General features: G+C 57.0%; 1 protein-coding gene, 1 long non-coding RNA gene and 1 pseudogene across 5 annotated transcripts in view, besides 9 other annotated features; 1 reads left to right on the forward strand and 2 right to left on the reverse strand.

Moving 5' to 3' along the window:
• The window catches only part of NDUFA6-DT (NDUFA6 divergent transcript), a 34,417-nt gene extending 28,428 nt beyond the window's left edge, over nucleotides 1-5,989 (forward strand). The window contains exons 4-5 of the long non-coding RNA NR_034118.2: nucleotides 4,687-5,202; nucleotides 5,515-5,989. This is a non-coding gene — a long non-coding RNA (NDUFA6 divergent transcript). The remainder of the gene's footprint in view (nucleotides 1-4,686; nucleotides 5,203-5,514) is intronic.
• CYP2D6 (cytochrome P450 family 2 subfamily D member 6 (gene/pseudogene)) lies at nucleotides 7,139-11,450 on the reverse strand. Of its 2 annotated transcripts, NM_000106.6 has the most exons (9): nucleotides 11,252-11,450; nucleotides 10,378-10,549; nucleotides 9,673-9,825; nucleotides 9,424-9,584; nucleotides 8,814-8,990; nucleotides 8,482-8,623; nucleotides 8,087-8,274; nucleotides 7,491-7,632; nucleotides 7,139-7,392 (listed from the first exon to the last, which is right to left on the reverse strand). In NM_000106.6, exons 1-9 carry the CDS (start codon nucleotides 11,429-11,431, stop codon nucleotides 7,214-7,216), a joined length of 1,494 nt encoding a protein of 497 aa, NP_000097.3. In that variant the 5' UTR covers nucleotides 11,432-11,450; the 3' UTR covers nucleotides 7,139-7,213. The 2 variants fall into 2 exon arrangements, with proteins under 2 accessions (NP_000097.3, NP_001020332.2); NM_001025161.3 differs by lacking the exon at nucleotides 9,673-9,825.
• Nucleotides 11,456-11,922: a promoter, noted in NCBI's record as "-362/+56 promoter". NCBI's record gives the evidence for it as "EXISTENCE:reporter gene assay evidence [ECO:0000049][PMID:8810289]".
• Nucleotides 11,456-13,041: a biological region, named in NCBI's record as "CYP2D6 promoter". NCBI's record gives its function as "regulatory_interactions: CYP2D6 | LOC110740341".
• Nucleotides 11,509-13,041: a promoter, noted in NCBI's record as "-1516/+11 promoter". NCBI's record gives its function as "drives expression in liver cells" and the evidence as "EXISTENCE:reporter gene assay evidence [ECO:0000049][PMID:16850252]".
• Nucleotides 11,528-11,551: a protein binding site, noted in NCBI's record as "K2 site". NCBI's record gives its function as "positive regulation of promoter activity" and the evidence as "EXISTENCE:protein binding evidence [ECO:0000024][PMID:25217496]".
• Nucleotides 11,547-11,588: a protein binding site, noted in NCBI's record as "CTE". NCBI's record gives its function as "positive regulation of promoter activity" and the evidence as "EXISTENCE:protein binding evidence [ECO:0000024][PMID:8810289]".
• Nucleotides 11,547-11,588: a protein binding site, noted in NCBI's record as "CTE". NCBI's record gives the evidence for it as "EXISTENCE:protein binding evidence [ECO:0000024][PMID:8810289]".
• Nucleotides 12,735-12,746: a transcriptional cis regulatory region, noted in NCBI's record as "C/EBPalpha binding site". NCBI's record gives its function as "mediates induction by CCAAT/enhancer binding protein alpha" and the evidence as "EXISTENCE:site-directed mutagenesis evidence [ECO:0005528][PMID:22355045]".
• Nucleotides 16,875-17,463: an enhancer, noted in NCBI's record as "H3K4me1 hESC enhancer chr22:42532244-42532832 (GRCh37/hg19 assembly coordinates)". NCBI's record gives its function as "activates a minimal SCP1, AML or CMV promoter by ChIP-STARR-seq in naive H9 embryonic stem cells {active_cell/tissue: H9 hESC(naive)}" and the evidence as "EXISTENCE:reporter gene assay evidence [ECO:0000049][PMID:30033119]".
• Nucleotides 17,464-18,051: an enhancer, noted in NCBI's record as "H3K4me1 hESC enhancer chr22:42532833-42533420 (GRCh37/hg19 assembly coordinates)". NCBI's record gives its function as "activates a minimal SCP1, AML or CMV promoter by ChIP-STARR-seq in naive H9 embryonic stem cells {active_cell/tissue: H9 hESC(naive)}" and the evidence as "EXISTENCE:reporter gene assay evidence [ECO:0000049][PMID:30033119]".
• On the reverse strand, nucleotides 20,216-25,123 carry CYP2D7 (cytochrome P450 family 2 subfamily D member 7 (gene/pseudogene); annotated as a pseudogene). Of its 2 annotated transcripts, none has more exons than NR_002570.6 (9): nucleotides 24,924-25,123; nucleotides 24,050-24,221; nucleotides 23,368-23,520; nucleotides 23,119-23,279; nucleotides 22,508-22,684; nucleotides 22,174-22,315; nucleotides 21,792-21,979; nucleotides 21,195-21,336; nucleotides 20,216-21,096 (listed from the first exon to the last, which is right to left on the reverse strand). The product of NR_002570.6 is annotated as a cytochrome P450 family 2 subfamily D member 7 (gene/pseudogene), transcript variant 1 (transcript). The 2 variants fall into 2 exon arrangements; NR_145674.3 differs by having other exon boundaries at nucleotides 21,792-22,036.
• Between the last annotated feature and the right edge of the window lie 215 nt (nucleotides 25,124-25,338).

Below are 25,338 nucleotides of genomic sequence, written 5' to 3' on the forward strand. Positions count from 1 at the left end.
GAGACAGAGATAGAGACTGAGAGATAGAGAGAGAGAGGAGTGGGAGGCAGGAGGAAAACCAGAGCATGAGAGGTCAAGCAGCCAAGAGAAAAGGCGAGGTCGTTAAAGAAAGGGTCAGCTGGGGCCGGGTGCAGTGGCTCATGCCTGTAATCCCAGCACTTTGGAAGACCGAGGCAGGCGGATCACGAGGTCAGGAGATCAGGACCATCCTGGCTAACATGGGGAAACCCCGCCTCTGCTAGTAAATACAAAAAAATTAGCTGGGCCTCGTGGCGGGCCGCCTGTAGTCTCAGCTACTCGGGAGGCTGAAGCAAGAGAATGGTGTGAACCCGGGAGGCGGAGCTTGCAGTGAGCCGAGATCACGCCACTGCACTCCAGCCTGGGCGACAGAGCGAGACTCCGTCTCAAAAAAAAAAAAAAAAAGAAAAAAAGGAAAGAGTCATCTGGGTTTGGTGACTAGGAGCGTACTGGTGACCTCAGTGAGAGGGGTTTCAGAGGCTTATGGAGACAGATGCAGGTTGAAGTGGGTTGTGGAGCGCGGGAGAGGTAGAAAGCAGTAAACACACCCCCCTGCCAACACCGCTCTCAGGAGACTGGTGTGAAGGGTAGGGGTCAGGACGCTAGCTGGAGAAGGAATATGGGTTCAAGGGAGAAGGGCTTTTTTCTTTTTAATAGAAGAGATCAGCAATGTGTTTAGATGCTGATGGAAGGAGCCAGAAAAAAGGAAAAGGAGAATATTGAGGTGAGACGAGATCTCCAAATGCCCAGGTGAGAAGACCAGATGAAATGGGGCACAGGAGTAGGGCTAGCTTTGGAGAGGGAGGGGAGCCTCCTCCCCTCATCCCCTGGAAGAGGAAATGGCCTATGAGAAGCCGGTGAGTGAATGGGTTTGGTGGCAGCAAGTTGAGGAAATGCCCATCTGATGGTGCCTATGCTCTCTGCTGAAAGTGAGGAAGACGGGGTGGAGTTAGAGGTTAAAGAGAGAATCTAAGGGCCGGGCACTGTGAGGAGGGCAAGGCAGGATTGGTGGAGCCCAGGAGTTCAAGACCAGCCTGGGCAACATAGACCCTGTCTCTACAAAAAAATTAAAAATTAGCTGGGTGTGGTGAGGTGTGCCTGTGGTCCCAGCTACTCAGGAAGCTGAGGTAGAAGGATCACTTGAGTGCAGGATGTTAAGGCTGCAGTGAGCTGGGATCACGCCACTGCACTCCAGCCTGAGTGACACAGCAAGACTCTGTCTTTAAAAAAAAAAAAAAGTGGCTGGCCTCGGTGGCTCACGCCTATAATCCCAGCACTTTGGGAGGCCGAAGCGGGTGGATCACCTGAGGTCAGGAGTTTGAGACCAGCCTGGCCAACATAGTGAAACCCCGTCTCTACTAAAAATACCTTAAACCCAGGAGGTGGATGTTGCAGTGAGCCGAGATCGTGCCAGTACACTCCAGCCTGGGCGACAGAGACTCCGTCTCAGAAAAAAAAAAATCCTCCATAGTCACCTGTAGTCAGCCCTTCCTCCTACTCCCACACCCTGGCAATCAGTGAACAGTTTCCTGTTCCTGTGGTTTTGACTTTGCAAGATTGTCATATAAATGGAAACGTATGGTAGCCTTTTCAGTCTGGTTTATTTTACTTAGCACAAAGCATTTGAGATTCATCTAGTCACGTGTATCCGTAGTTTGTTCCTTTTATTGAGTGGTGGTCCGTTGTATGGATGTTCCAGAACATTTGGACTATTTCTAGTTTGGGGCATAAAATGACTATTAATAAATATTCACGTACAAGTTTTGTGTGTACATAGATTTTCCTTATACTTGAGTAAAGAGCAAGCAGTGGAATTTTTGGGTCATATGGTAAGTGTAAGTGTAAGTTTAATTTTGTAAGAAACTCAAACTTTTTCAAAGCGGCTGTCTCACCAGCAATAACCGAGAGGTTCCAGTTGTTCTACATCCTCTCCAGCATTTGTTATCTTTGAAAGCCATTCTAAAAGGCATATTTCAATTTTTATTAGATCGGTATTGAAGATTTACATTATTAAACTATGTAAACAGGCCAGGCGTGATAGTTTACACCTATAATCTCTGCACTTTGGGAGGCGAAGGCAGGAGGATCACTTGAGCTCAGAAGTTCCAGGCCAGCCTGGTCAACATAGTGAGACTCTGTACAAAAAATAAATAAATAAATCAGAAAAAAATTAGCTAGGTCAGGCACAGTGGCTCATGACTGTAATCCCAACTACTTGAGAGGTCAACATGGGAGGATCGCTTGAGTCCAGGACTTCGAGACCAGCCTGGACAACATTGGGAGACACTGTCTATTTAAAAAAAAAAATTAGCTGAGTGTGGTGGTGCCCTGTGATCCCAGCTACTAAGGAGGCTGAGGTAAGAGAGTCACTTACTTGAGCACAGGTTGTGGAGGCTGCAATGAAACGTGATCACTGCACTCCAGTCTGGGCAACAGAGCAAGACTCTTTCTCAAAACAAAAAATGTAGACAGTAGTCCCAGTTGAGTCATGATTTTAGTTTTTCTTCTTCTCTTTCTTTAGTTTTTTGTGCATCTATTATATAATTAATTCATCCAAATTTTCTGCCAAAAATAGAAATCTCTTTGCAGTACATTTAGACAGATCACGTCATTTCTCCATATGATCATTTTCATGGAGACATACCTCAGGAGCCCTCCATCTCCCTGATTCCATCTGGATGGGGCACCCTGGAGGTCTGCTGCCCAGCTGTCCTCCTGAGCTCCCCATTCACCCTTATGCTCAGGGGCTCTCCCTGCCTGTTGTGCTGGGTCCCATGTTATCTTCTTTTCTATTTCTCCTTTATTTTAGTGAAGTACAACCTCCGGTTGCTTCCTGAGGGGTAGTCTTGAGACATTTATGTATCCGAAAAGACCTCAATTCATACTTGCATAGCATTTGGCTAGGTATAGAATTCTAGATTGGAAATATTTTCTCTCAGATTTTGAAGGTCTTCATTATCTTATAGCTTCAAAGGTTGGTGTTGAGAAGTCTGATGAATATTGAATTCCTGAAGCTCAGACTTTTTTCTCTCTGGAAGTTTTTGGGTTCCACTCTGTCCTCAGTGTTGTGAAATTTCTTGACAACAAAATTGGGGCTGGGTCCCCTTCATTCATTGTCATGAACACTTGGTGTTTCCTTCTCTACTGGAAACTCATGTTCTTCCTCTGTGAGAACTTGTCTTGACAAAAAAGAAACGTATTTATTAGACATCTTTCCTTGCCTCCTAGTCTGTTGTCTCTGCTGCCTGTTTCAGAAACATCTAAACAACAATTTAGCTGTTGGAGCTCCTGACCTCTTCTCTGTTCTTTCTGGAAAATATTTTTTTCAAGTTTAGCTTCTATACTTTGATTAGATTTTGCATTCCTATTATTATATTTTTTATTTTTAAGGCAAGGTCTTTCTCTGTTGCCCAGGCTGGAGTGCAGTGGCACGATCACAGTTCACTGCAGCTTTGTTCCTGGACTCAAGTGATCCTCCCACCTCAGCCTCCCAAGCAGCTGGAACTACAGGTGTGTGCCACCACACCCAGCCAGTATTTTAATTTTTTGTAGAGATGGGGTCTCCTTAGGTGGCCCAGGCTGGTGTTGAATTCCTAGGCTCAAACAATCCTCCTGCCTTAGCCTCCCAAAATGCTGGGATTACAGGCATGAGCTAAGGCACCCAGACTATATTTTTGTCAAGAATTAGTGGTGGTGGGTGTTTGAACATTTTTATTTTAGACCCTCCTATTCTTATTTCATGAATGCAAAGTTTTATCTTTCTAAAGATATCAATTATAGATTTTTTTTTTAAGACAGTTTCACTCTTGTTGACCAGGCTGGAGTGCAATGATGCGATCTCGGCTCACTGCAGCCTCTGCCTCCCAGGTTCAAGCAATTCTCCTGCCTCAGCCTCCTGAGTAGCTGGGATTACAGGCACCCACCACCACGCCCAGCTAATTTTTTGTATTTTTAGTAGAGACGGGGTTTCACCATGTTGGCCAGGCTGGTCTCGAACATCTGACCTCAGGTGATCCACCCATCTCGGCCTCCCAAAGTGCTGGGATTACAGGCGTGAGCCACCCTGCCCAGCCCAATTATAGATTTTTTAGGTTTAGGTGTTGACAGTAGCTCTCACCTCAGCCTGTTCTCTCTCCTTGTCATGCAGCCCACAGGGGAGATGGTCAGGCCAGTGTGGGGGCTAATGAATAAATGCTACACTGTGCCCACTCAGGTGGGTAAGGGCTGGCACTCCTCTTCCCCTGGAGTGGGGCGGCTGTGCTGGCACCCTTGGCAGACACAGTAAGGGGGACTGCACCTGGAAAGGATGGGCCAGTCGGGGCAGGACTACTCATCACTCATAGTGTGGGTGTCAGGGTTGTGTCACCCCTCCCACCTCCCTCTGCAGAGACGCAAAGTCAAGAGTAGGAAGAAGCCAACCTCTGAGGTAAGGCTTCCCCTGGAAGGCCCAGGGCTGGGGCTCTCTCCTTTCAGAGCTCAGTTAGACCCAGACACACGGCAGGGAGTCCCAAGGGTAGTGGCAGGCCCCCTCCAGGAAACTCACAAGGTTACCACAGCTCAACTGAAAAGGAAGAACTTCCCAGGACTGTGACACCCCAGTGTGAGAACAGGAGGATGAGGTGCTCTGAAGGCCTTTCTGCCCAGTCTGCCCTCTTATTCCTCCTGCAGGTCACGACCCCCAGGAGACCTGGAGGACTGAATGCTGCTGCCCCCAAGGAGGAGGCTGCCGTCTTATCCCAGGAGGGAGAGCAGGTGAAGTCCCCAGGGGAGGAAGCACCTAGCCCCATTCCTGCTGAGCAGGAGGTGGCAGGTACCCCAGACTGGGAGGTAAGGACAGCCCGGGGCTTCGACTGAACGTCTCCAGCGTGGGTCCAACTGAGCAGCCATGGAGCACTGCAGAGTGGGAGGCAGCAGGGCAGGGAGGCAGTGCTGGAGGCTGGCTCAACCCCAAGACCAGCAGGCCAAGCTGCCATCCCAGGGGAGCGAGGACGTCTGTGCAGAGCTGAGAGGCAGCAGCCATGTGTGAACAGACTGGGCCTCATCCTGGCCCCACCGACTTTGTGTGGACAGAGCCTGTTTCCCTGTCTGTGCAACACAGAACCTGCCTGATCTCACTGCTGGATCCCTCTTCTTCCTGCCAGGAAAATAAAAAGGTTCAAAAGGAAGTTGCTGCGTATCCATCTGGTAAGACCACTGACCCAGCGTGCTGCAGGGGGCTGCTTCCACCCTGCTTCTCAGTGACTGCCAGGGTCACAGACACCCCAGCCCTTTCCCACCTTCCTGACCTGGGGAGGGGAGGGGAGGGAAGCAGCCCAGGAGTCAGGTGCCTTGACCTTCCTGGGAGCCTCCTTGGGTGGGCAGGAACTCTGGGCCACTCCCCTGAGCTGGCTGCATCCCTACCTTTCACCACAGCTGACCTGGCCCCGGGGCATCTCAGAGGGAGGGTTGGTTGCTCCCAGGAGGGGACTCACAAGGCTGCCTGTTTCTACTTTGCAGAGGCCTCTGAGGACAGCAAAGAGCAAAGGCCCTGGGACCGGGTCTACGTGCCCATGACAGAGCTCTGGCTGGACTGGTTCTGAGCCTCTAACACCCCCAAGACTCAGAACCGTGAAGAAAATCTTTCCAATAAATCCAAGAGTTGCTGCTGCTATAGGCCAGGCTGCCACCTTTCGGGGCCTCCGTCTTCAGACAAACCCAGCCTGGCTTCATCCACACTCCCTGTCCCCACAGCTGCAGGAACAGCACTTCCTGCCACCGAGCCGTGTGACCACAGTGGATTGTCTCTGGAGGGGCCCAAGGGGGCCCTGGCCACCCTTCTGACTGACTCGGTGCCAGGGGACAGACCAACGTCCCTCTCGTGCTGACAGCCGGGCCGCACCCTGGCATGAGGGCATTTACAGAAATGCTGGCGGAACTGCTGCCAGGGAGGCTGTAGGGTCCTCTGGCAAAAGAGGCCTCAGGTGGCTCCTCAGAGTGTCTGTGGTTCTCTGTCCCAGGCTGTTCCCTAAGAAGGTCTGCCCAGGACTCAGGTAATCATATGCTCATTAGAAACTCTTGGGCACTGCCTGTGTGCCCAGCCCAGCCCATTATGTCGGTGAGGACAGACGTGGAGGACAGCAGTCCCTGCCCTTGGTTGGGGCTCCAGGCCAGCAAGGGCCACAGCCCCAGAAGGCAGAGCAGGAAGACAGGACTCGGGGCAGGTGAAGCAGCCTTCTCGTTGGCAGAAGGGAAACAGAAGCCCGGGGTGGGGAAGGGTGGGGAAGGGTGGGGAAGGGTGGGCCCGGGGTCACACGGGGTAATGGCAGAGCAAGGACTAGGGTCAGGGTCTCTGGCTCTCAGCTGCCCATGCCACCTCCTCCTTCTCTGCCCGCCCCAGTGCCTTATGGGTCCAAGGTTGACTCCTGTCCCTAGGGCAGGCCTGTGGGCCCTGCCTGATCCCTACTGGGAGGATGGTACCTAGGGTTGGAGCCAAACAAGTGTCCTCCTCCAGCGCCAGCCTGGCCCTGAGTGCGAACTCGTCACTGGTCAGGGGTCTGTACAGCAGCATCCCTGAGGGCCCAGAGAGGTAGCCAGTCCTGTGGTGAGGTGACGAGGCTGAGGGTGGTGGCTCAGTCCTGGGCTTCCATGGGGCCTTCCCAGGGAACGTTCTGGCACCTGCCGACTGAGCCCTGGGAGGTAGGTAGCCCTGGCATATAGCTCCCTGACGCCATGATTTGTCTTCCGTTTTGGGGTGTCATATATGAAGGGAGGTGACTGTTGTGATGGTGCTGGCAGGACTGCTGTCCCTGATGTGGGGTGGGCTGAGTTAGGCCTGAAATATGGGCCTCCAGGCTGAGTCCTGCCCTCTCCACCACATCCAGGGCTGACTGACACCTCTAGTCAGCCCATTCTGGCCCCTTCCCCACATGCCAGGACAATGTAGTCCTTGTCACCAATCTGGGCAGTCAGAGTTGGGTCAGTGGGGGACATGGGATTATGGGCAAGGGTAACTGACATCTGCTCAGCCTCAACGTACCCCTGTCTCAAATGCGGCCAGGCGGTGGGGTAAGCAGGAATGAGGCAGGGGTGGGGTTGCCCTGAGGAGGATGATCCCAACGAGGGCGTGAGCAGGGGACCCGAGTTGGAACTACCACATTGCTTTATTGTACATTAGAGCCTCTGGCTAGGGAGCAGGCTGGGGACTAGGTACCCCATTCTAGCGGGGCACAGCACAAAGCTCATAGGGGGATGGGCTCACCAGGAAAGCAAAGACACCATGGTGGCTGGGCCGGGGCTGTCCAGTGGGCACCGAGAAGCTGAAGTGCTGCAGCAGGGAGGTGAAGAAGAGGAAGAGCTCCATGCGGGCCAGGGGCTCCCCGAGGCATGCACGGCGGCCTGTGGGGAGGGGAGGGGCGTCAGTGAGCCTGGCTCCTGGGTGATACCCCTGCAAGACTCCACGGAAGGGGACAGGGAGCCGGGCTCCCCACAGGCACCTGCTGAGAAAGGCAGGAAGGCCTCCGGCTTCACAAAGTGGCCCTGGGCATCCAGGAAGTGTTCGGGGTGGAAGCGGAAGGGCTTCTCCCAGACGGCCTCATCCTTCAGCACCGATGACAGGTTGGTGATGAGTGTCGTTCCCTGGGCAGGAGATGCAGGGTGAGAGTGGGGACTGGACTCTAGGATGCTGGGACCCCTGCCACCAAACACACGGGGGACACACACTGCCTGGCACACAGCTGGACTCTGTCAACTAGTCCTGCGCCCGAGAAGCTCCACAGTACCCTCTCCGACCCCACAGCAGGGCGCAGTCACACCTCTCAGAGGCACCCACACTGCCCCCTCTCCCTGCAGGCGTTGGGTCCTCCAACATTCTGGCAGGTCCTGGTTTGTCTCCCCACTAGACGGGGGCTCTGGATGGACAGGCCAGCCCTGCCTATACTCTGGACCCCCCACCCAAGTGGGGACAGTCAGTGTGGTGGCATTGAGGACTAGGTGGCCAGGGTTCCTAGAGTGGGCCCACCTGGCAGTAGCCATGCTGGGGCTATCACCAGGTGCTGGTGCTGAGCTGGGGTGAGGAGGGCGCCAGGCCTACCTTAGGGATGCGGAAGCCCTGTACTTCGATGTCACGGGATGTCATATGGGTCACACCCAGGGGGACGATGTCCCCAAAGCGCTGCACCTCATGAATCACGGCAGTGGTGTAGGGCATGTGAGCCTGGTCACCCATCTCTGGTCGCCGCACCTGCCCTATCACGTCGTCGATCTCCTGTTGGACACGGCCTGGACAGACATGCGTCCCCACAATGGGTCAGCACCCAGGGGGTCCGGCCCTGACACTCCTTCTTGCCTCCTATGTTGGAGGAGGTCAGGCTTACAGGATCCTGGTCAAGCCTGTGCTTGGAGCCCCGGGTGTCCCAGCAAAGTTCATGGGCCCCCGCCTGTACCCTTCCTCCCTCGGCCCCTGCACTGTTTCCCAGATGGGCTCACGCTGCACATCCGGATGTAGGATCATGAGCAGGAGGCCCCAGGCCAGCGTGGTCGAGGTGGTCACCATCCCGGCAGAGAACAGGTCAGCCACCACTATGCGCAGGTTCTCATCATTGAAGCTGCTCTCAGGGTTCCCCTTGGCCTGAGCAGGGCCGAGAGCATACTCGGGACAGAACGGGGTAGCCCCCAAATGACCTCCAATTCTGCACCTGTCAGCCCAGATGCGGCTCGCCGGGTGATGCACTGGTCCAACCTTTTGCCCAGCCTCCCCTCATTCCTCCTGGGACGCTCAACCCACCACCCTTGCCCCCCACCGTGGCAGCCACTCTCACCTTCTCCATCTCTGCCAGGAAGGCCTCAGTCAGGTCTCGGGGGGGCTGGGCTGGGTCCCAGGTCATCCTGTGCTCAGTTAGCAGCTCATCCAGCTGGGTCAGGAAAGCCTTTTGGAAGCGTAGGACCTTGCCAGCCAGCGCTGGGATATGCAGGAGGACGGGGACAGCATTCAGCACCTACACCAGACAGAACGGGGTCTCAATCCCTCCTGTGCTCTGCGTTCACCTGGACAAGTCTCAGGCCCCAGCCATCTCCAGGTAGACCCAGGGCCTGCCTGTCCTTACCACTGACCTCACCAAGTCCCTCCCCAAGTGCCAGCCTCCACCCTCTCTCCTTGCCCAGAGGAGAAACCTAAAATCGAAATCTCTGACGTGGATAGGAGGTACAGAGTCCTTGGCCTCTCCTGGTGCCCCCTGACCCGGGCACACCTCTCCCACGACCATGTCTGAGATGTCCCCTCCTCCTCCAGGCCCTTCTTACAGTGGGGTCTCCTGGAATGTCCTTTCCCAAACCCATCTATGCAAATCCTGCTCTTCCGAGGCCCCAGTCCAGCCCCGGCACCTCTCGGGAGCTCGCCCTGCAGAGACTCCTCGGTCTCTCGCTCCGCACCTCGCGCAGAAAGCCCGACTCCTCCTTCAGTCCCTCCTGAGCTAGGTCCAGCAGCCTGAGGAAGCGAGGGTCGTCGTACTCGAAGCGGCGCCCGCAGGTGAGGGAGGCGATCACGTTGCTCACGGCTTTGTCCAAGAGACCGTTGGGGCGAAAGGGGCGTCCTGGGGGTGGGAGATGCGGGTAAGGGGTCGCCTTCCCCGTCCCCCGCCTTCCCAGTTCCCGCTTTGTGCCCTTCTGCCCATCACCCACCGGAGTGGTTGGCGAAGGCGGCACAAAGGCAGGCGGCCTCCTCGGTCACCCACTGCTCCAGCGACTTCTTGCCCAGGCCCAAGTTGCGCAAGGTGGACACGGAGAAGCGCCTCTGCTCGCGCCACGCGGGCCCATAGCGCGCCAGGAACACCCCTGGGGGTGGGACGGGCACGTGCGCGTGGCCATGAAGGCATTAGCCCCACCATCCACCACCCACTCCAACCCTATGCTCCCCCTGGTCTCCCGCAGTCCCTGGCTCTGTCCAGCTGGTCACAGGGCCCACTCTTTGTGCATCCACCTTGCTCCCTTGGCTGGGGCAGGGCTTTGCCCCACCTCGTCTCTGCCCACCCTGACCGCCTTTGCACTCAGGGAAGACCCCGCGGGCCCCGCGCCACCCACACTGAGCTTACAGCACAGGTGCGGTCCCCGCCCCCCACTTCGACACCGGATTCCAGCTGGGAAATGCGCCAGCCTCACCCATTGGGCTCCTGCCAGGTCTCGGCAGTGGCCCCGCCCACTCGTCACAAGCCCCGCCCTCGTCCCCATGCTCACACCTCCCTAGTGCAGGTGGTTTCTTGGCCCGCTGTCCCCACTCGCTGGCCTGTTTCATGTCCACGACCCCGCGCCCTCTCTGCCCAGCTCGGACTACGGTCATCACCCACCCGGGTCCCACGGAAATCTGTCTCTGTCCCCACCGCTGCTTGCCTTGGGAACGCGGCCCGAAACCCAGGATCTGGGTGATGGGCACAGGCGGGCGGTCGGCGGTGTCCTCGCCGTGGGTCACCAGCGCCTCGCGCACGGCCGCCAGCCCATTGAGCACGACCACCGGCGTCCAGGCCAGCTGCAGGCTGAACACGTCCCCGAAGCGGCGCCGCAACTGCAGAGGGAGGGTCAGGGCCTCTTGTCAAGCCAGGATCACCCCAGACTACAGGTCCTAGTCCTATTTGAACCTTGGACGACCCCCGGGGCTACCAGGAGTGAGCAGGTGGAAGGAGGAGACCCAGCCTCCTGATCGTGGGGCGGGGGTGGGGGTCACACCTTCTGTGATGGAGGAACTCAGTTTGGATGCGTCACCCAGGTATGACCTTGCAAGAGTCACCAAAATTGCCGAGAGGCCCCAGTTAGCATCCCATTCCCAGATGATGGTCCATGCCGGTGAGCAGTGAGGCCCGAGGACCCACAGTGCAAAAGGTTTGAACCGGGTCACTGCACCCCCTTCATCCTCGATTTCGTGATTTAAACGGCACTCAGGACTAACTCATCTTCCATTCCCAAGGCCTTTCCTTCTGGTGTCAGCAGAAGGGACTTTGTACTCCATAACATATGTTGCCCAATGGGCTTGCATGCCCACTGCCAAGTCCAGCTCCACCTCCAGGCCCTTGCCCTACTCTTCCTTGGCCTTTGGAAAATCCAGTCCTTCATGCCATGTATAAATGCCCTTCTCCAGGACGTCCCCCAAACCTGCTTCCCCTTCTCAGCCTGGCTTCTGGTCCAGCCTGTGGTTTCACCCACCATCCATGTTTGCTTCTGGTAGGGGAGCCTCAGCACCTCTGCCGCCCTCCAGGACCTCCTCCCTCACCTGGTCGAAGCAGTATGGTGTGTTCTGGAAGTCCACATGCAGCAGGTTGCCCAGCCCGGGCAGTGGCAGGGGGCCTGGTGGGTAGCGTGCAGCCCAGCGTTGGCGCCGGTGCATCAGGTCCACCAGGAGCAGGAAGATGGCCACTATCACGGCCAGGGGCACCAGTGCTTCTAGCCCCATACCTGCCTCACTACCAAATGGGCTCCTCTGGACACACCTGGCACCCCCACCCCACCAGGCACAGAGGACCAGGCAGGACACTCTCAGCACACCGAGCGCGTGACCCTTCCCTTATAAAGGGAGCTGATGATGGCCTTTGCCCTCTGCTGTGAGTGAACCTGCTGTGTTGACTGTGCTGCCAGTGGCAGAGTCAGGCCAGGGCGGGTATGGGCTGCTCCAGAGGTTCTTGCCCCTGCTTCCTGCTCCAGGCCCTTACCCAGGGTAGGCCGGTGGAGGGGCCTGGTCGGAGAAGTCACCCCCTCTCCCCACTCCAAGCTCCTGAAGCCTGCAAAGCCTTCTGGGATAACCAGGGTTTCAGTGGACCCGGCCATCCACCTCCCAGCTAGGCTCATACACCCTAATGTAGTCACAACCCCTCCTCCAGAACATGGCCTTGCCCTTTCCCTACCCCCACCTGCCCACTCCAGAGTGACCTTCAGCACCCTTATCTGTCACTGGCACTTACCTGGGGCCTTAGAGCTCCTGATGATGAGTGGCATCATGGGCCTGGTCCCTTCACTTCACCTTGCACTCTTGACATGCACAGACGCTATGCACACACCTGATGGTGCACAGATCTCTTGTCCACTCCCAGACACTTGTCCACTTGTTCACACTTGCAGGGACACGATTACACACGCAGAAAATCACCCACACAAAGACAATATTCACACATACACAGACTCACACTGACACTTAGGGCACACATTCTCTCTCACACACACCAGTCACACACACATACAGACCCGGCACCAAGTACCCCACTTCCCAGCCATGCCGGAGGTTTCCTGGATGGGACCACTCCTGTCCAGAGGCTGCTCCCAGCCCAGCCCACATTCCTGGGCTCTGGCCGGGCTATGGCTTCTTGTTTGCAACAGGGCTGTTCCCAGAGCTCCCAGTTGGTAGCCGGAAGGCCCTTGCCCCAGCCTGTGACAACATCCTCCCGGGCTGCCTGAGGGTCGTCCTCCTCCACTGCTTTCTGGCCTCCATGTTTCTGATTAGAAATCTGGTGGGAACGTTATGGAGGATCCTTTGTTCAGGATATGTTGCTTTATTTTTTTTTTCTTTAGACAGGGTCTCACTCTGTTGCCCAGGCCGGAGTGCAGTGGCAGGATCATGGCTCACTGCAGTCTCGACATCAAGTGGACCCCCTGCCTCCCAAGTAGCTGGGACTACAGGCACCACCCAGCCTAATTCTTTTTTTTTTTTTTTTTTTTTTGGAGACGGAGATTTCCTCTTGTTGCCCAGGCTGGTGGCTCCCCTCCATTGTGCAATGATGCAATCTCGGCTCACTACAACCTTCACCTCTAGGCTTCAAGCAATTCTCCTGCCTCAGCCTCCTAAGTAGCTGGGATTACAGGTGTGTGCCACCACGTCTAGCTTTTTGTATTTTCAGTAGAGATAGGGTTTCACCATGTTGGCCAGGCTAGTCTTGAACTCCTGACTTCAGGTGATCCACCCACCTCAGGCTCCCAAAGTGCTGGGATTATAGGCATGAGCCACCGCACCCAATCCCAGCTAATTTTGTATTTTTTGTAGAGACCGGGTTCTTCCAAGTTGTCCAGGCTGGTCTTGAATTCCTGGGGTGAAGCGATCCTCCCACCTGGGCCTCCCAAAGTGCTGGGATTACAGGCCTGAGCCACTGTGACTACCTGATACGTCTCTTCTCTCTTGCTGCTTTCAAAATCCTGTCTTTTGTGGGAGGGCAGCTGCCGAGCTCTGGACTTCTACGGGATCATCCACTGAGGACAGGAGGACCGGGCCCTCTACAGGTGGATTGTATGGCAGCTGCCATGCTTGGAGCCAGTGCTCACCGAGCACGTGGCGGCTGTGGAGCTGGACGCGGGGTTGATAAGTCCGCTGGGGGTGACGGGCTCATCCATGAGTGGTACTTGATGTGGCTGCAGAAGGCGGATGTGGTGGTGGCAGAAGTGACACAACTGTCCCTGGGTATAGGCTATGATCTGTGCCAGGCCACAGCCCTCAATAAGTGAATCCTGTGCCTGCTCCAGCCGCAGTCTGGTGGAGTGCTGTCGGCCATGATCTGGGAAGAGGCAGATGGCTCTGGGTTCCAGGTGTGGGACTACGGAGAGGGACAGGTGGAGGCCCTGCTGCATGGATAGGTTGAGGCTGATCCTCCCGAGCAGGTTGCCTCCCCTAACCCAACCATTGGACCTAATCCCATTTTATTAAATTCTTCTCATCCCAGACACTGCTCTAGTACCAGTCCTGGCTCTTTGCCCCAGGAGCAAATTAAAAGGTACATTTAAAATTCTAAAAAAAGAAAAATCTGTCTTTTGACAGTGATTATGATGATGCGTATGGCTGAAGATCTCTTTGAGTTTACCCTACTTGGAGTTTGATGAGCTTTTTGGATGTACAGATTAATATTTTTCATCAGATTTGGGAGGTTTTTCAGCCATTAATTCTTCAACTATTCCTTTACTCCTTTCTCCCTGTCTTCTTTCCTGGGACTCCCATTGCGTGTATGTCGGAAAGCTTGACGGCGTCTCCAGGTCTCTGGATCTCTGTGCATTGCTCTTCATGCTTGTTCCTGTTCCTCAGAGGGTACTACCTCAGGTGGCCTCTCTCCATAGTCACAGGCTCTTTCTTCCAATTGTTCCAATCTGCTCTTGGGCCCCTGGGATGAATTTTCATTTATTTTACCCTACAACTCCAGAATTTTTATTTGGTTCCTTTTTAAACTTTTTTTTTGTTTTTTGTTTTGTTTTGTTTTTTGGAGTATCGCTCTGTCACCCAGGCTGTAGTGCAGTGGTGCAATCTCGGCTCACTGCAATCTCTGCCTCTCGGGTTCAAGCGATTCTCCTGCCTCAGCCTCCCGAGTAGCTGGGATTACAGGCACGTGCCACCACGCCCGGCTAATTTTTGTATTTTAAGTAGAGACGGGGTTTCACCATGTTGGCCAGGCTGGTCTCAATCTCTTGACCTCATGATATGCCCGCCTCAGCCTCCCAAAGTGCTGGGATTATAGGCATGAGCCACCATGCCCAGCCCCTTTTTATAAGGTTCATCCCATTATTGATATTCTCTAATTGGTGAGACATTGTTCCCACACTTTCGTTAGTTCTTTTGACATGGTTCTTTTCTTTTTCTTGGGAGAGGGTCTCTCTGTCGCCCAAGCTGGAGTGCAGTGATGCAGTCATGGCTCACTGCAGCCTCAACTTCCTGGGCTGAAGTGATCCTCCTACCTCAGCATCCTGAGAGGCTGGGACCATAGGCAGCCAGCTAATTTTTTAAATTTTTTTGTAGAGATGGGGGTCTCACCACATTTCCCAAGCTGCTCTCAAACTCCTGGGCTCAAGCAATCCACGGGCCTCAGCTTCCCAGAGTGCTAGGATTATAGGTGTGAGCCACTGCACCAGGCCTACACGTGGTTTCTCCCTTTGAAGTACTAGCCAGGCCTGACCATGCTTAGCTTCCGAGATCAGCAGGTTCCAGCCGGTGCAGCCTCAGATGCAGCATGTTTTAGGTCTTTGAACATATTTAAATGAGCTGACTGAACGTCTTTGTCTAGCAATTGCAGCATCGGGCTGGTCCCATTGGTGACTTTTCCCGTGTCTGGGTCGTCCTTTCGGTTTCCTTTCCATGTCTCATAATTTGTTAAAACCTGGACATTTCACGGGCGATAATGTGGCAACTCCGGAAGTCAGATTCTCTTCCCTGCCAAGGATGTGTTGTTGTTGTTGCCTGTTGGAGCTGTTTCTTTGCTGGGTGACTTTTCTGAACTAATTCTGACTAAGCATTAATGTCTCCATTCCCTGCGAGCTGTGGCCACTGAAGCCGCTCTTCAGTTACGGCAGTGGTCAGCTAATGACTGGTCAGAGAGTTCCTTAGGTGCCTGGAAGCGAAGTCTTTGCCGAGTGGGTCTCTCTCTGTGTGCCGGGCGTGGCTTCAGTGCTCGGCTAGGCAGTGCTCAACTTTCCCTTAGCCGTCACCTGCTGTCTGCACAGCACCTCAGGTCAGTCACGTGTGAGGGCTCAGGGCCTTGCCGGCCTTCCTGAATATGGGCACAGCTGCAGACAGCCTTACCCACGTGCAGGGCACCTAGATTCCCAAGAAGGGGCAAGAGCTGTTCAAAACCACTACAAGCTGGACATGGTGGCTCACACCTGTAGTGTCAGTGACTCAGAAGGCTGTAATGGGAGGATGACTTGAGGCCAGGAGTTTGAGACCTAGCAAGACCCCATCCCCCACCCAAAAAAACAAAAACAACAAAAACTCACTGTGGACCGCTCATGCCCCAGCTGCTGCTTTTTAACCCCAGCTGTTATCCATCACCACAGGCAGCTTCGATTTTCAATCATGGATCTGATGACTTTCAACAAACTTTCCTGAGGAAAGTGCTGTTCTCACCAGAAGAGATCTCAGGACAAATGTAGACAGCCCTGGCAAGTGGGGTCTCCCTGGGAGCTAGCAGACAGGTGAAAGACTGACAGTTCTTGGGGAATTAGGCTTTTCTTTTGTTTTGGAGATGGCGTTTCATACTTATCACCCAGACTGGAGTGCAATGGTGTGATCTCGGCTCACTGCAACCTCTGCCTCCCAGGTTCAAGCAATTCTCCTGCCTCAGCCTCCTGAGTAGCTGGGATTACAGGCACCCACCACCACGCCCAGCTAATTTTTTGTATTTTTAGTAGAGACGGGGTTTCACCATGTTGGCCAGGCTGGTCTCGAACATCTGACCTCAGGTGATCCACCCATCTCGGCCTCCCAAAGTGCTGGGATTACAGGCGTGAGCCACCCTGCCCAGCCCAATTATAGATTTTTTAGGTTTAGGTGTTGACAGTAGCTCTCACCTCAGCCTGTTCTCTCTCCTTGTCATGCAGCCCACAGGGGAGATGGTCAGGCCAGTGTGGGGGCTAATGAATAAATGCTACACTGTGCCCACTCAGGTGGGTAAGGGCTGGCACTCCTCTTCCCCTGGAGTGGGGCGGCTGTGCTGGCACCCTTGGCAGACACAGTAAGGGGGACTGCACCTGGAAAGGATGGGCCAGTCGGGGCAGGACTACTCATCACTCATAGTGTGGGTGTCAGGGTTGTGTCACCCCTCCCACCTCCCTCTGCAGAGACGCAAAGTCAAGAGTAGGAAGAAGCCAACCTCTGAGGTAAGGCTTCCCCTGGAAGGCCCAGGGCTGGGGCTCTCTCCTTTCAGAGCTCAGTTAGACCCAGACACACGGCAGGGAGTCCCAAGGGTAGTGGCAGGCCCCCTCCAGGAAACTCACAAGGTTACCACAGCTCAACTGAAAAGGAAGAACTTCCCAGGACTGTGACACCCCAGTGTGAGAACAGGAGGATGAGGTGCTCTGAAGGCCTTTCTGCCCAGTCTGCCCTCTTATTCCTCCTGCAGGTCACGACCCCCAGGAGACCTGGAGGACTGAATGCTGCTGCCCCCAAGGAGGAGGCTGCCGTCTTATCCCAGGAGGGAGAGCAGGTGAAGTCCCCAGGGGAGGAAGCACCTAGCCCCATTCCTGCTGAGCAGGAGGTGGCAGGTACCCCAGACTGGGAGGTAAGGACAGCCCGGGGCTTCGACTGAACGTCTCCAGCGTGGGTCCAACTGAGCAGCCATGGAGCACTGCAGAGTGGGAGGCAGCAGGGCAGGGAGGCAGTGCTGGAGGCTGGCTCAACCCCAAGACCAGCAGGCCAAGCTGCCATCCCAGGGGAGCGAGGACGTCTGTGCAGAGCTGAGAGGCAGCAGCCATGTGTGAACAGACTGGGCCTCATCCTGGCCCCACCGACTTTGTGTGGACAGAGCCTGTTTCCCTGTCTGTGCAACACAGAACCTGCCTGATCTCACTGCTGGATCCCTCTTCTTCCTGCCAGGAAAATAAAAAGGTTCAAAAGGAAGTTGCTGCGTATCCATCTGGTAAGACCACTGACCCAGCGTGCTGCAGGGGGCTGCTTCCACCCTGCTTCTCAGTGACTGCCAGGGTCACAGACACCCCAGCCCTTTCCCACCTTCCTGACCTGGGGAGGGGAGGGGAGGGAAGCAGCCCAGGAGTCAGGTGCCTTGACCTTCCTGGGAGCCTCCTTGGGTGGGCAGGAACTCTGGGCCACTCCCCTGAGCTGGCTGCATCCCTACCTTTCACCACAGCTGACCTGGCCCCGGGGCATCTCAGAGGGAGGGTTGGTTGCTCCCAGGAGGGGACTCACAAGGCTGCCTGTTTCTACTTTGCAGAGGCCTCTGAGGACAGCAAAGAGCAAAGGCCCTGGGACCGGGTCTACGTGCCCATGACAGAGCTCTGGCTGGACTGGTTCTGAGCCTCTAACACCCCCAAGACTCAGAACCGTGAAGAAAATCTTTCCAATAAATCCAAGAGTTGCTGCTGCTATAGGCCAGGCTGCCACCTTTCGGGGCCTCCGTCTTCAGACAAACCCAGCCTGGCTTCATCCACACTCCCTGTCCCCACAGCTGCAGGAACAGCACTTCCTGCCACCGAGCCGTGTGACCACAGTGGATTGTCTCTGGAGGGGCCCAAGGGGGCCCTGGCCACCCTTCTGACTGACTCGGTGCCAGGGGACAGACCAACGTCCCTCTCGTGCTGACAGCCGGGCCGCACCCTGGCATGAGGGCATTTACAGAAATGCTGGCGGAACTGCTGCCAGGGAGGCTGTAGGGTCCTCTGGCAAAAGAGGCCTCAGGTGGCTCCTCAGAGTGTCTGTGGTTCTCTGTCCCAGGCTGTTCCCTAAGAAGGTCTGCCCAGGACTCAGGTAATCATATGCTCATTAGAAACTCTTGGGCACTGCCTGTGTGCCCAGCCCAGCCCATTATGTCGGTGAGGACAGACGTGGAGGACAGCAGTCCCTGCCCTTGGTTGGGGCTCCAGGCCAGCAAGGGCCACAGCCCCAGAAGGCAGAGCAGGAAGACAGGACTCGGGGCAGGTGAAGCAGCCTTCTCGTTGGCAGAAGGGAAACAGAAGCCCGGGGTGGGGAAGGGTGGGGAAGGGTGGGGAAGGGTGGGCCCGGGGTCACACGGGGTAATGGCAGAGCAAGGACTAGGGTCAGGGTCTCTGGCTCTCAGCTGCCCATGCCACCTCCTCCTTCTCTGCCCGCCCCAGTGCCTTATGGGTCCAAGGTTGACTCCTGTCCCTAGGGCAGGCCTGTGGGCCCTGCCTGATCCCTACTGGGAGGATGGTACCTAGGGTTGGAGCCAAACAAGTGTCCTCCTCCAGCGCCAGCCTGGCCCTGAGTGCGAACTCGTCACTGGTCAGGGGTCCAGACAGCAGCATCCCTGAGGGCCCAGAGAGGTGGCCAGTCCTGTGGTGAGGTTGAGAGGTGTCAACGTGCTGGTGGTCCTCGCTCGCTCTCAGCGCCTCCTCGGCCTCAGCTTCTGCTCTGACCACACTTGAGGAGCCCTTCAGCCCAGCGCTGCACTGTGGGAGCCCCTCTCTGGACTGGTGGAGGCTGGAGCCGGCTCCGTCTGCTTGCGGGGAGGTATGGAGGGAGAGGCGTGTGCGGGAACCTGGGTTGCTCGCGGGCCAGCACCAGTTCTGGGTGGGCAGGGGCTCAGCGGGCCCTGCACTCGGAGCGGCCGGCTGGTGCCTCTGGCCCCAGGCAGTGAGGGGCTTAGCACCTGGGCCAGCAGCTGCAGAGGGGGCACCGGGTCCCCCAGTACTGCTGGCCTGCCGGCGCTCACCACACTTGAATTGTCGCCAGGCCTCAGTCACCTCCCCGCGGGGCAGGGCTCAGGACTTGCAGCCTGCCATGCCCAAGCCTCCCTACGGTGGGCTCCCTGCGAGGCCCGAGCCTCCCGGATGGGTGCCTCCCACTGCTCCACGGCACCTGGTCCCGTCCACTGCCCAAGGGCTGAGGAGTACAGGTGCCCGGTGTGGGACTAGCAGGCAGCTCTGCCTGTGGCCCTGGCATAGGATCCACTAGGCGAAGCTGGCTGGGCTCCTGAGTCAGGTGGGGACTTGGAGAACTTTTATGTCTAGCCAGAGGATTGTATATGCACCAATCAGCACTCTGTGTCTAGCTCCGGGTTCGTGCATGCACCAATTAGCACTCTATCTAGCTAATCTGGTGGGGACTTGGGGAACCTTTATTTCTAGCTAAAAGATTGTAAATACACCAATCAGCACTCTGTGTCTAGCTCAAGGTTTGTAAACACACCAGTCAGCACCCTGTGTCTAACTCAAGGTTTGTAAACGCACCAATCAGTGCTCTCTGTCTACTCTATCTAGCTAATCTAGTGGGGACTGGGACAACCTTTATGTCTAGCTAAGGGATTGTAAATACACCATTCAGCACTCTGTGTCTAGCTCAAGGTTTGTAAATATACCAATCAGTACTCTGTGTCTAGCTCAGGGATTGTAAATGCACCAATCAGCTCTCTGTAAGTGGACCAATCCACTGTCTGTAAAATGGGCCAATCAGCAGGATGTGGGTGGGGGTCAGATAAGGGAATAAAAGCAGGCTGCCTGAAGTAGCAGCGGCAACCTGGTTGCCATCATTCTTTTGCTGTTTGCAGTAAGTCTTGCTGCTGCTGCTCCCTCATTGGGTCCACACTGCCTTTATGAGTTGTAACACTGGAAGGACTGCAGTTTCACTCCTGAGGCCAGTGAGACCACAAACCCACCAGGAAGAATGAACAACTCCGTACGTGCAGCCTTAAGAGCCGTAACACTCACTGTGAAGGTCTGCAGCTTCACTCCTGAAGCCAGCAAGACCACGCACCCACCAGAAGGAAGAAACTCTGAACACGTCTTAACATCAGAAGGAACAAACTCTGAACACACCATCTTTAAGAACTGTAACACTCACCGTGAGGGTCCACGGCTTCATTCTTGAAGTCAGTGAGACCAAGAACCCACCAATTTTGGACACAAGGTGACAGGCTGAGGGCGGTGGCTCGGTCCTGGGTTTTCCTGGGGCCTTCCCAGGGAATGTTCTGGCACCTGCCGACTGAGCCCTGGGAGGTAGCCCTGGCATATAGCTCCCTGACATGATTTGTCTTCCATTTTGGGGTGTCATATATGAAGGGAGGTGACTGTTGTGATGGTGCTGGCAGGACTGCTGTCCCTGATGTGGGGTGGGCTGAGTTAGGCCTGAAATATGGGCCTCCAGGCTGAGTCCTGCCCTCTCCACCACATCCAGGGCTGACTGACACCTCTAGTCAGCCCATTCTGGCCCCTTCCCCACATGCCAGGACAATGTAGTCCTTGTCACCAATCTGGGCAGTCAGAGTTGGGTCAGTGGGGGACATGGGATTATGGGCAAGGGTAACTGACATCTGCTCAGCCTCAACGTACCCGTCTCAAATGCGGCCAGGCGGTGGGGTAAGCAGGAATGAGGCAGGGGTGGGGTTGCCCTGAGGAGGATGATCCCAACGAGGGCGTGAGCAGGGGACCCAAGTTGGAACTACCACATTGCTTTATTGTACATTAGAGCCTCTGGCTAGGGAGCAGGCTGGGGACTAGGTACCCCATTCTAGCGGGGCACAGCACAAAGCTCGTAGGGGGATGGGGTCACCAGAAAGCTGACGACACGAGAGTGGCTGGGCCGGGGCTGTCCGGCGGCCACGGAGAAGCTGAAGTGCTGCAGCAGGGAGGTGAAGAAGAGGAAGAGCTCCATGCGGGCCAGGGGCTCCCCGAGGCATGCACGGCGGCCTGTGGGGAGGGGAGGGGCGTCAGTGAGCCTGGCTCCTGGGTGATACCCCTGCAAGACTCCACGGAAGGGGACAGGGAGCCGGGCTCCCCACAGGCACCTGCTGAGAAAGGCAGGAAGGCCTCCGGCTTCACAAAGTGGCCCTGGGCATCCAGGAAGTGTTCGGGGTGGAAGCGGAAGGGCTTCTTCCAGACGGCCTCATCCTTCAGCACCGATGACAGGTTGGTGATGAGTGTCGTTCCCTGGGCAGGAGATGCAGGGTGAGAGTGGGGACTGGACTCTAGGATGCTGGGACCCCTGCCACCAAACACACGGGGGACACACACTGCCTGGCACACAGCTGGACTCTGTCAACTAGTCCTGCGCCCGAGAAGCTCCACAGTACCCTCTCCGACCCCACAGCAGGGCGCAGTCACACCTCTCAGAGGCACCCACACTGCCCCCTCTCCCTGCAGGCGCTGGGTCCTCCAACATTCTGGCAGGTCCTGATTTGTCTTCCCCACTAGACGGGGGCTCTGGATGGACAGGCCAGCCCTGCCTATACTCTGGACCCCCCATCCAAGCGGGGACAGTCAGTGTGGTGGCATTGAGGACTAGGTGGCCAGGGTTCCTAGAGTGGGCCCACCTGGCAGTAGCCATGCTGGGGCTATCACCAGGGGCTGGTGCTGAGCTGGGGTGAGGAGGGCGCCAGGCCTACCTTAGGGATGCGGAAGCCCTGTACTTCGATGTCACGGGATGTCATATGGGTCACACCCAGGGGGACGATGTCCCCAAAGTGCTGCACCTCGTGAATCACGGCAGTGGTGCAGGGCATGTGAGCCTGGTCACCCATCTCTGGTCGCCGCACCTGCCCTATCACGTCGTCGATCTCCTGTTGGACACGGACTGGACAGACATGCGTCCCCACAATGGGTCAGCACCCAGGGGACACTCTCCTTCCTCCTGTGTTGGAGGAAGTTAGGCTTACAGGAGCCTGGCCACGCCTGTGCTGGAAGCCCCGGGTGTCCCAGCTAAGCCCAGGGGCCCCCAGCTGTACCCTTCCTCCCTCAGTCCCTGCCTTGGGCCCCAGCTGGGCTCACGCTGCACATCCAGGTGTAGGATCATGAGCAGGAGGCCCCAGGCCAGCGTGGTCGAGGTGGTCACCATCCCGGCAAGGAACAGGTTACCCACCACTATGCGCAGGTTCTCATCATTGAAGCTGCTCTCAGGGCTCCCCTTGGCCTGAGCAGGGCCGAGAGGATACTCAGGGGATAGAACGGGGTAGCCCCCAAATGACCTCCAATTCTGCACCTGTCAGCCCAGATGCGGCTCGCCGGGTGATGCACTGGTCCAACCTTTTGCCCAGCCTCCCCTCATTCCTCCTGGGACGTTCAACCCACCACCCTTGCCCCCCACCGTGGCAGCCACTCTCACCTTCTCCTTCTTTGCCAGGAAGGCCTCAGTCAGGTCTCGGGGTGGCTGGGCTGGGTCCCAGGTCATCCTGTGCTCAGTTAGCAGCTCATCCAGCTGGGTCAGGAAAGCCTTTTGGAAGCGTAGGACCTTGCCAGCCAGCGCTGGGATGTGCGGGAGGACGGGGACAGCATTCAGCACCTACACCAGACAGAACGGGGTCTCAATCCCTCCTGTGCTCTGCGTTCACCTGGACCAGTCTCAGGCCCCAGCCATCTCCAGGAAGACCCAGGGCCTGCCTGTCCTTACCACTGACCTCACCAAGTCCCTCCCCAAGTGCCAGCCTCCACCCTCTCTCTCCTTGCCCAGAGGAGAAACCTAAAATCGAAATCTCCAACGTGGACGGGGGTACAGAGTCCTTGGCCTCTCCTGGTGCCCCCTGACCCGGGCACACCTCTCCCACGACCATGTCTGAGATGTCCCCTCCTCCTCCAGGCCCTTCTTACAGTGGGGTCTCCTGGAATGTCCTTTCCCAAACCCATCTATGCAAATCCTGCCCTTCGGAGGCCCCAGTCCAGCCCCGGCACCTCTCAGGAGCTCGCCCTGCAGAGACTCCTCGGTCTCTCGCTCCGCACCTCGCGCAGGAAGCCCGACTCCTCCTTCAGTCCCTCCTGAGCTAGGTCCAGCAGCCTGAGGAAGCGAGGGTCGTCGTACTCGAAGCGGCGCCCGCAGGTGAGGGAGGCGATCACGTTGCTCACGGCTTTGTCCAAGAGGCCGTTGGGGCGAAAGGGGCGTCCTGGGGGTGGGAGATGCGGGTAAGGGGTTGCCTTCTCCGTCCCCCGCCTTCCCAGTTCCCGCTTTGTGCCCTTCTGCCCATCACCCACCGGCTTGGTCGGCGAAGGCGGCACAAAGGCAGGCGGCCTCCTCGGTCACCCACTGCTCCAGCGACTTCTTGCCCAGGCCCAAGTTGCGCAAGGTGGACACGGAGAAGCGCCTCTGCTCGCGCCACGCGGGCCCATAGCGCGACAGGATCACCCCTGGGGGCGGGACGGGCACGTGGGCGTTGCCATGAAGGCCTTGGCCCCACCCTCCGCCACCCACTCCAACCCTGGCGCTCCACAAGGTCTCCCGCAGTCCCTAGCCCGGTCCAGCTGGGCACAGGGCCCACTCTTTGCTCACCCACATTGCTCCCCTGCCTGGGGCGGGGTTTGGCCCCACCTCGTCTCTGCCCACCCTGACCACCTTTCCACTCAAGGAAGATCCCGCCCGTCCCGCCCACACTGAGCCCGCAGCATAGGCGCGGTCCCCGCCACCGCCACTTCGACGCATCAGCCTCGCCCACCGGGCTTCTGGCGGGTCTGGGCAGTAGCCCCGCCCCCTCCCAGCCCACAGACTCGCACCTCCCCCGTGCAGGTGGTTTCCTGGCCCACTGTCCTCAGCCCACTCGCTGGCCTTTATCTCTGTTTCACGTCCAGGACCCCACGCCCTGTCGGCGCTGCTTGGGCTACGGTCACTGTCCACCCGGGGCCCACGGAAACGCGGTCTCTGTCCCCCACCGCCGCTTGCCTTGGGAACGCGGCCCGAAGCCCAGGACCTGGTAGATGGGCGCAGGCGGGCGGTCGGCCGTGTCCTCGCCGCGGGTCACCATCGCCTCGCGCACGGCCGCCAGCCCATTGAGCACGACCACCGGCGTCCAGGCCAGCTGCAGGCTGAACACGTCCCCGAAGCGGCGCCGCAACTGCAGAGGGAGGGTCAGGGCCTCTTGTCAAGCCAGGATCACCCCAGACTACAGGTCCTAGTCCTATTTGAACCTTGGACGACCCCCGGGGCTACCAGGAGTGAGCAGGTGGAAGGAGGAGACCCAGCCTCCTGATCGTGGGGCGGGGGTGGGGGTCACACCTTCTGTGATGGAGGAACTCAGTTTGGATGCGTCACCCAGGTATGACCTTGCAAGAGTCACCAAAATTGCCGAGAGGCCCCAGTTAGCATCCCATTCCCAGATGATGGTCCATGCCGGTGAGCAGTGAGGCCCGAGGACCCACAGTGCAAAAGGTTTGAACCGGGTCACTGCACCCCCTTCATCCTCGATTTCGTGATTTAAACGGCACTCAGGACTAACTCATCTTCCATTCCCAAGGCCTTTCCTTCTGGTGTCAGCAGAAGGGACTTTGTACTCCATAACATATGTTGCCCAATGGGCTTGCATGCCCACTGCCAAGTCCAGCTCCACCTCCAGGCCCTTGCCCTACTCTTCCTTGGCCTTTGGAAAATCCAGTCCTTCATGCCATGTATAAATGTCCTTCCCCAGGACGTCCCCCAAACCTGCTTCCCCTTCTCAGCCTGGCTTCTGATCCAGCCTGTGGTTTAACCCACCACCCATGTTTGCTGGTGGTGGGGCATCCTCAGGACCTCTGCCGCCCTCCAGGACCTCCTCCCTCACCTGGTCGAAGCAGTATGGTGTGTTCTGGAAGTCCACATGCAGCAAGGTTGCCCAGCCCGGGCAGTGGCAGGGGACCTGGCGGGTAGCGTGCAGCCCAGCGTTGGTGCCGGTGCATCAGGTCCACCAGGAGCAGGAAGATGGCCACTATCATGGCCAGGGGCACCAGTGCTTCTAGCCCCATGGCTGCCTCACTACCAACTGGGCTCCTCTGGACACACCTGGCACCCCCACCCCACCAGGCACAGAGGACCAGGCAGGACACTCTCGGCACACCGAGCGCGTGACCCTTCCCTTATAAAGGGAGCTGATGATGGCCTTCGCCCTCTGCTGTGAGTGAACCTGCTGTGTTGACTGTGCTGCCAGTGGCAGAGTCAGGCCAGGGCAGGTATGGGCTGCTCCAGAGGTCCTTGCCGCT

The sequence above is a fragment of the Homo sapiens genome, chromosome 22 (assembly GCF_000001405.40).
Source record: "Homo sapiens chromosome 22, GRCh38.p14 Primary Assembly".
Classification (NCBI taxonomy): Eukaryota; Metazoa; Chordata; class Mammalia; order Primates; family Hominidae; genus Homo; species Homo sapiens.

Excerpts from the sequence above, each read along its gene's own strand:
- CYP2D6 (NM_000106.6), bottom strand. The coding sequence starts at position 11,431 with ATGGGGCTAGAAGCACTGGTGCCCCTGGCCGTGATAGTGGCCATCTTC. Across the intron at positions 8,991-9,423 it reads AGTCGGGCTTTCTGCGCGAG|GTGCTGAATGCTGTCCCCGT; the intron begins GTGCGGAGCGAG and ends TGTCTGGTGTAG. Across the intron at positions 8,624-8,813 it reads TCCTGGCAGAGATGGAGAAG|GCCAAGGGGAACCCTGAGAG; the intron begins GTGAGAGTGGCT and ends GGCCCTGCTCAG.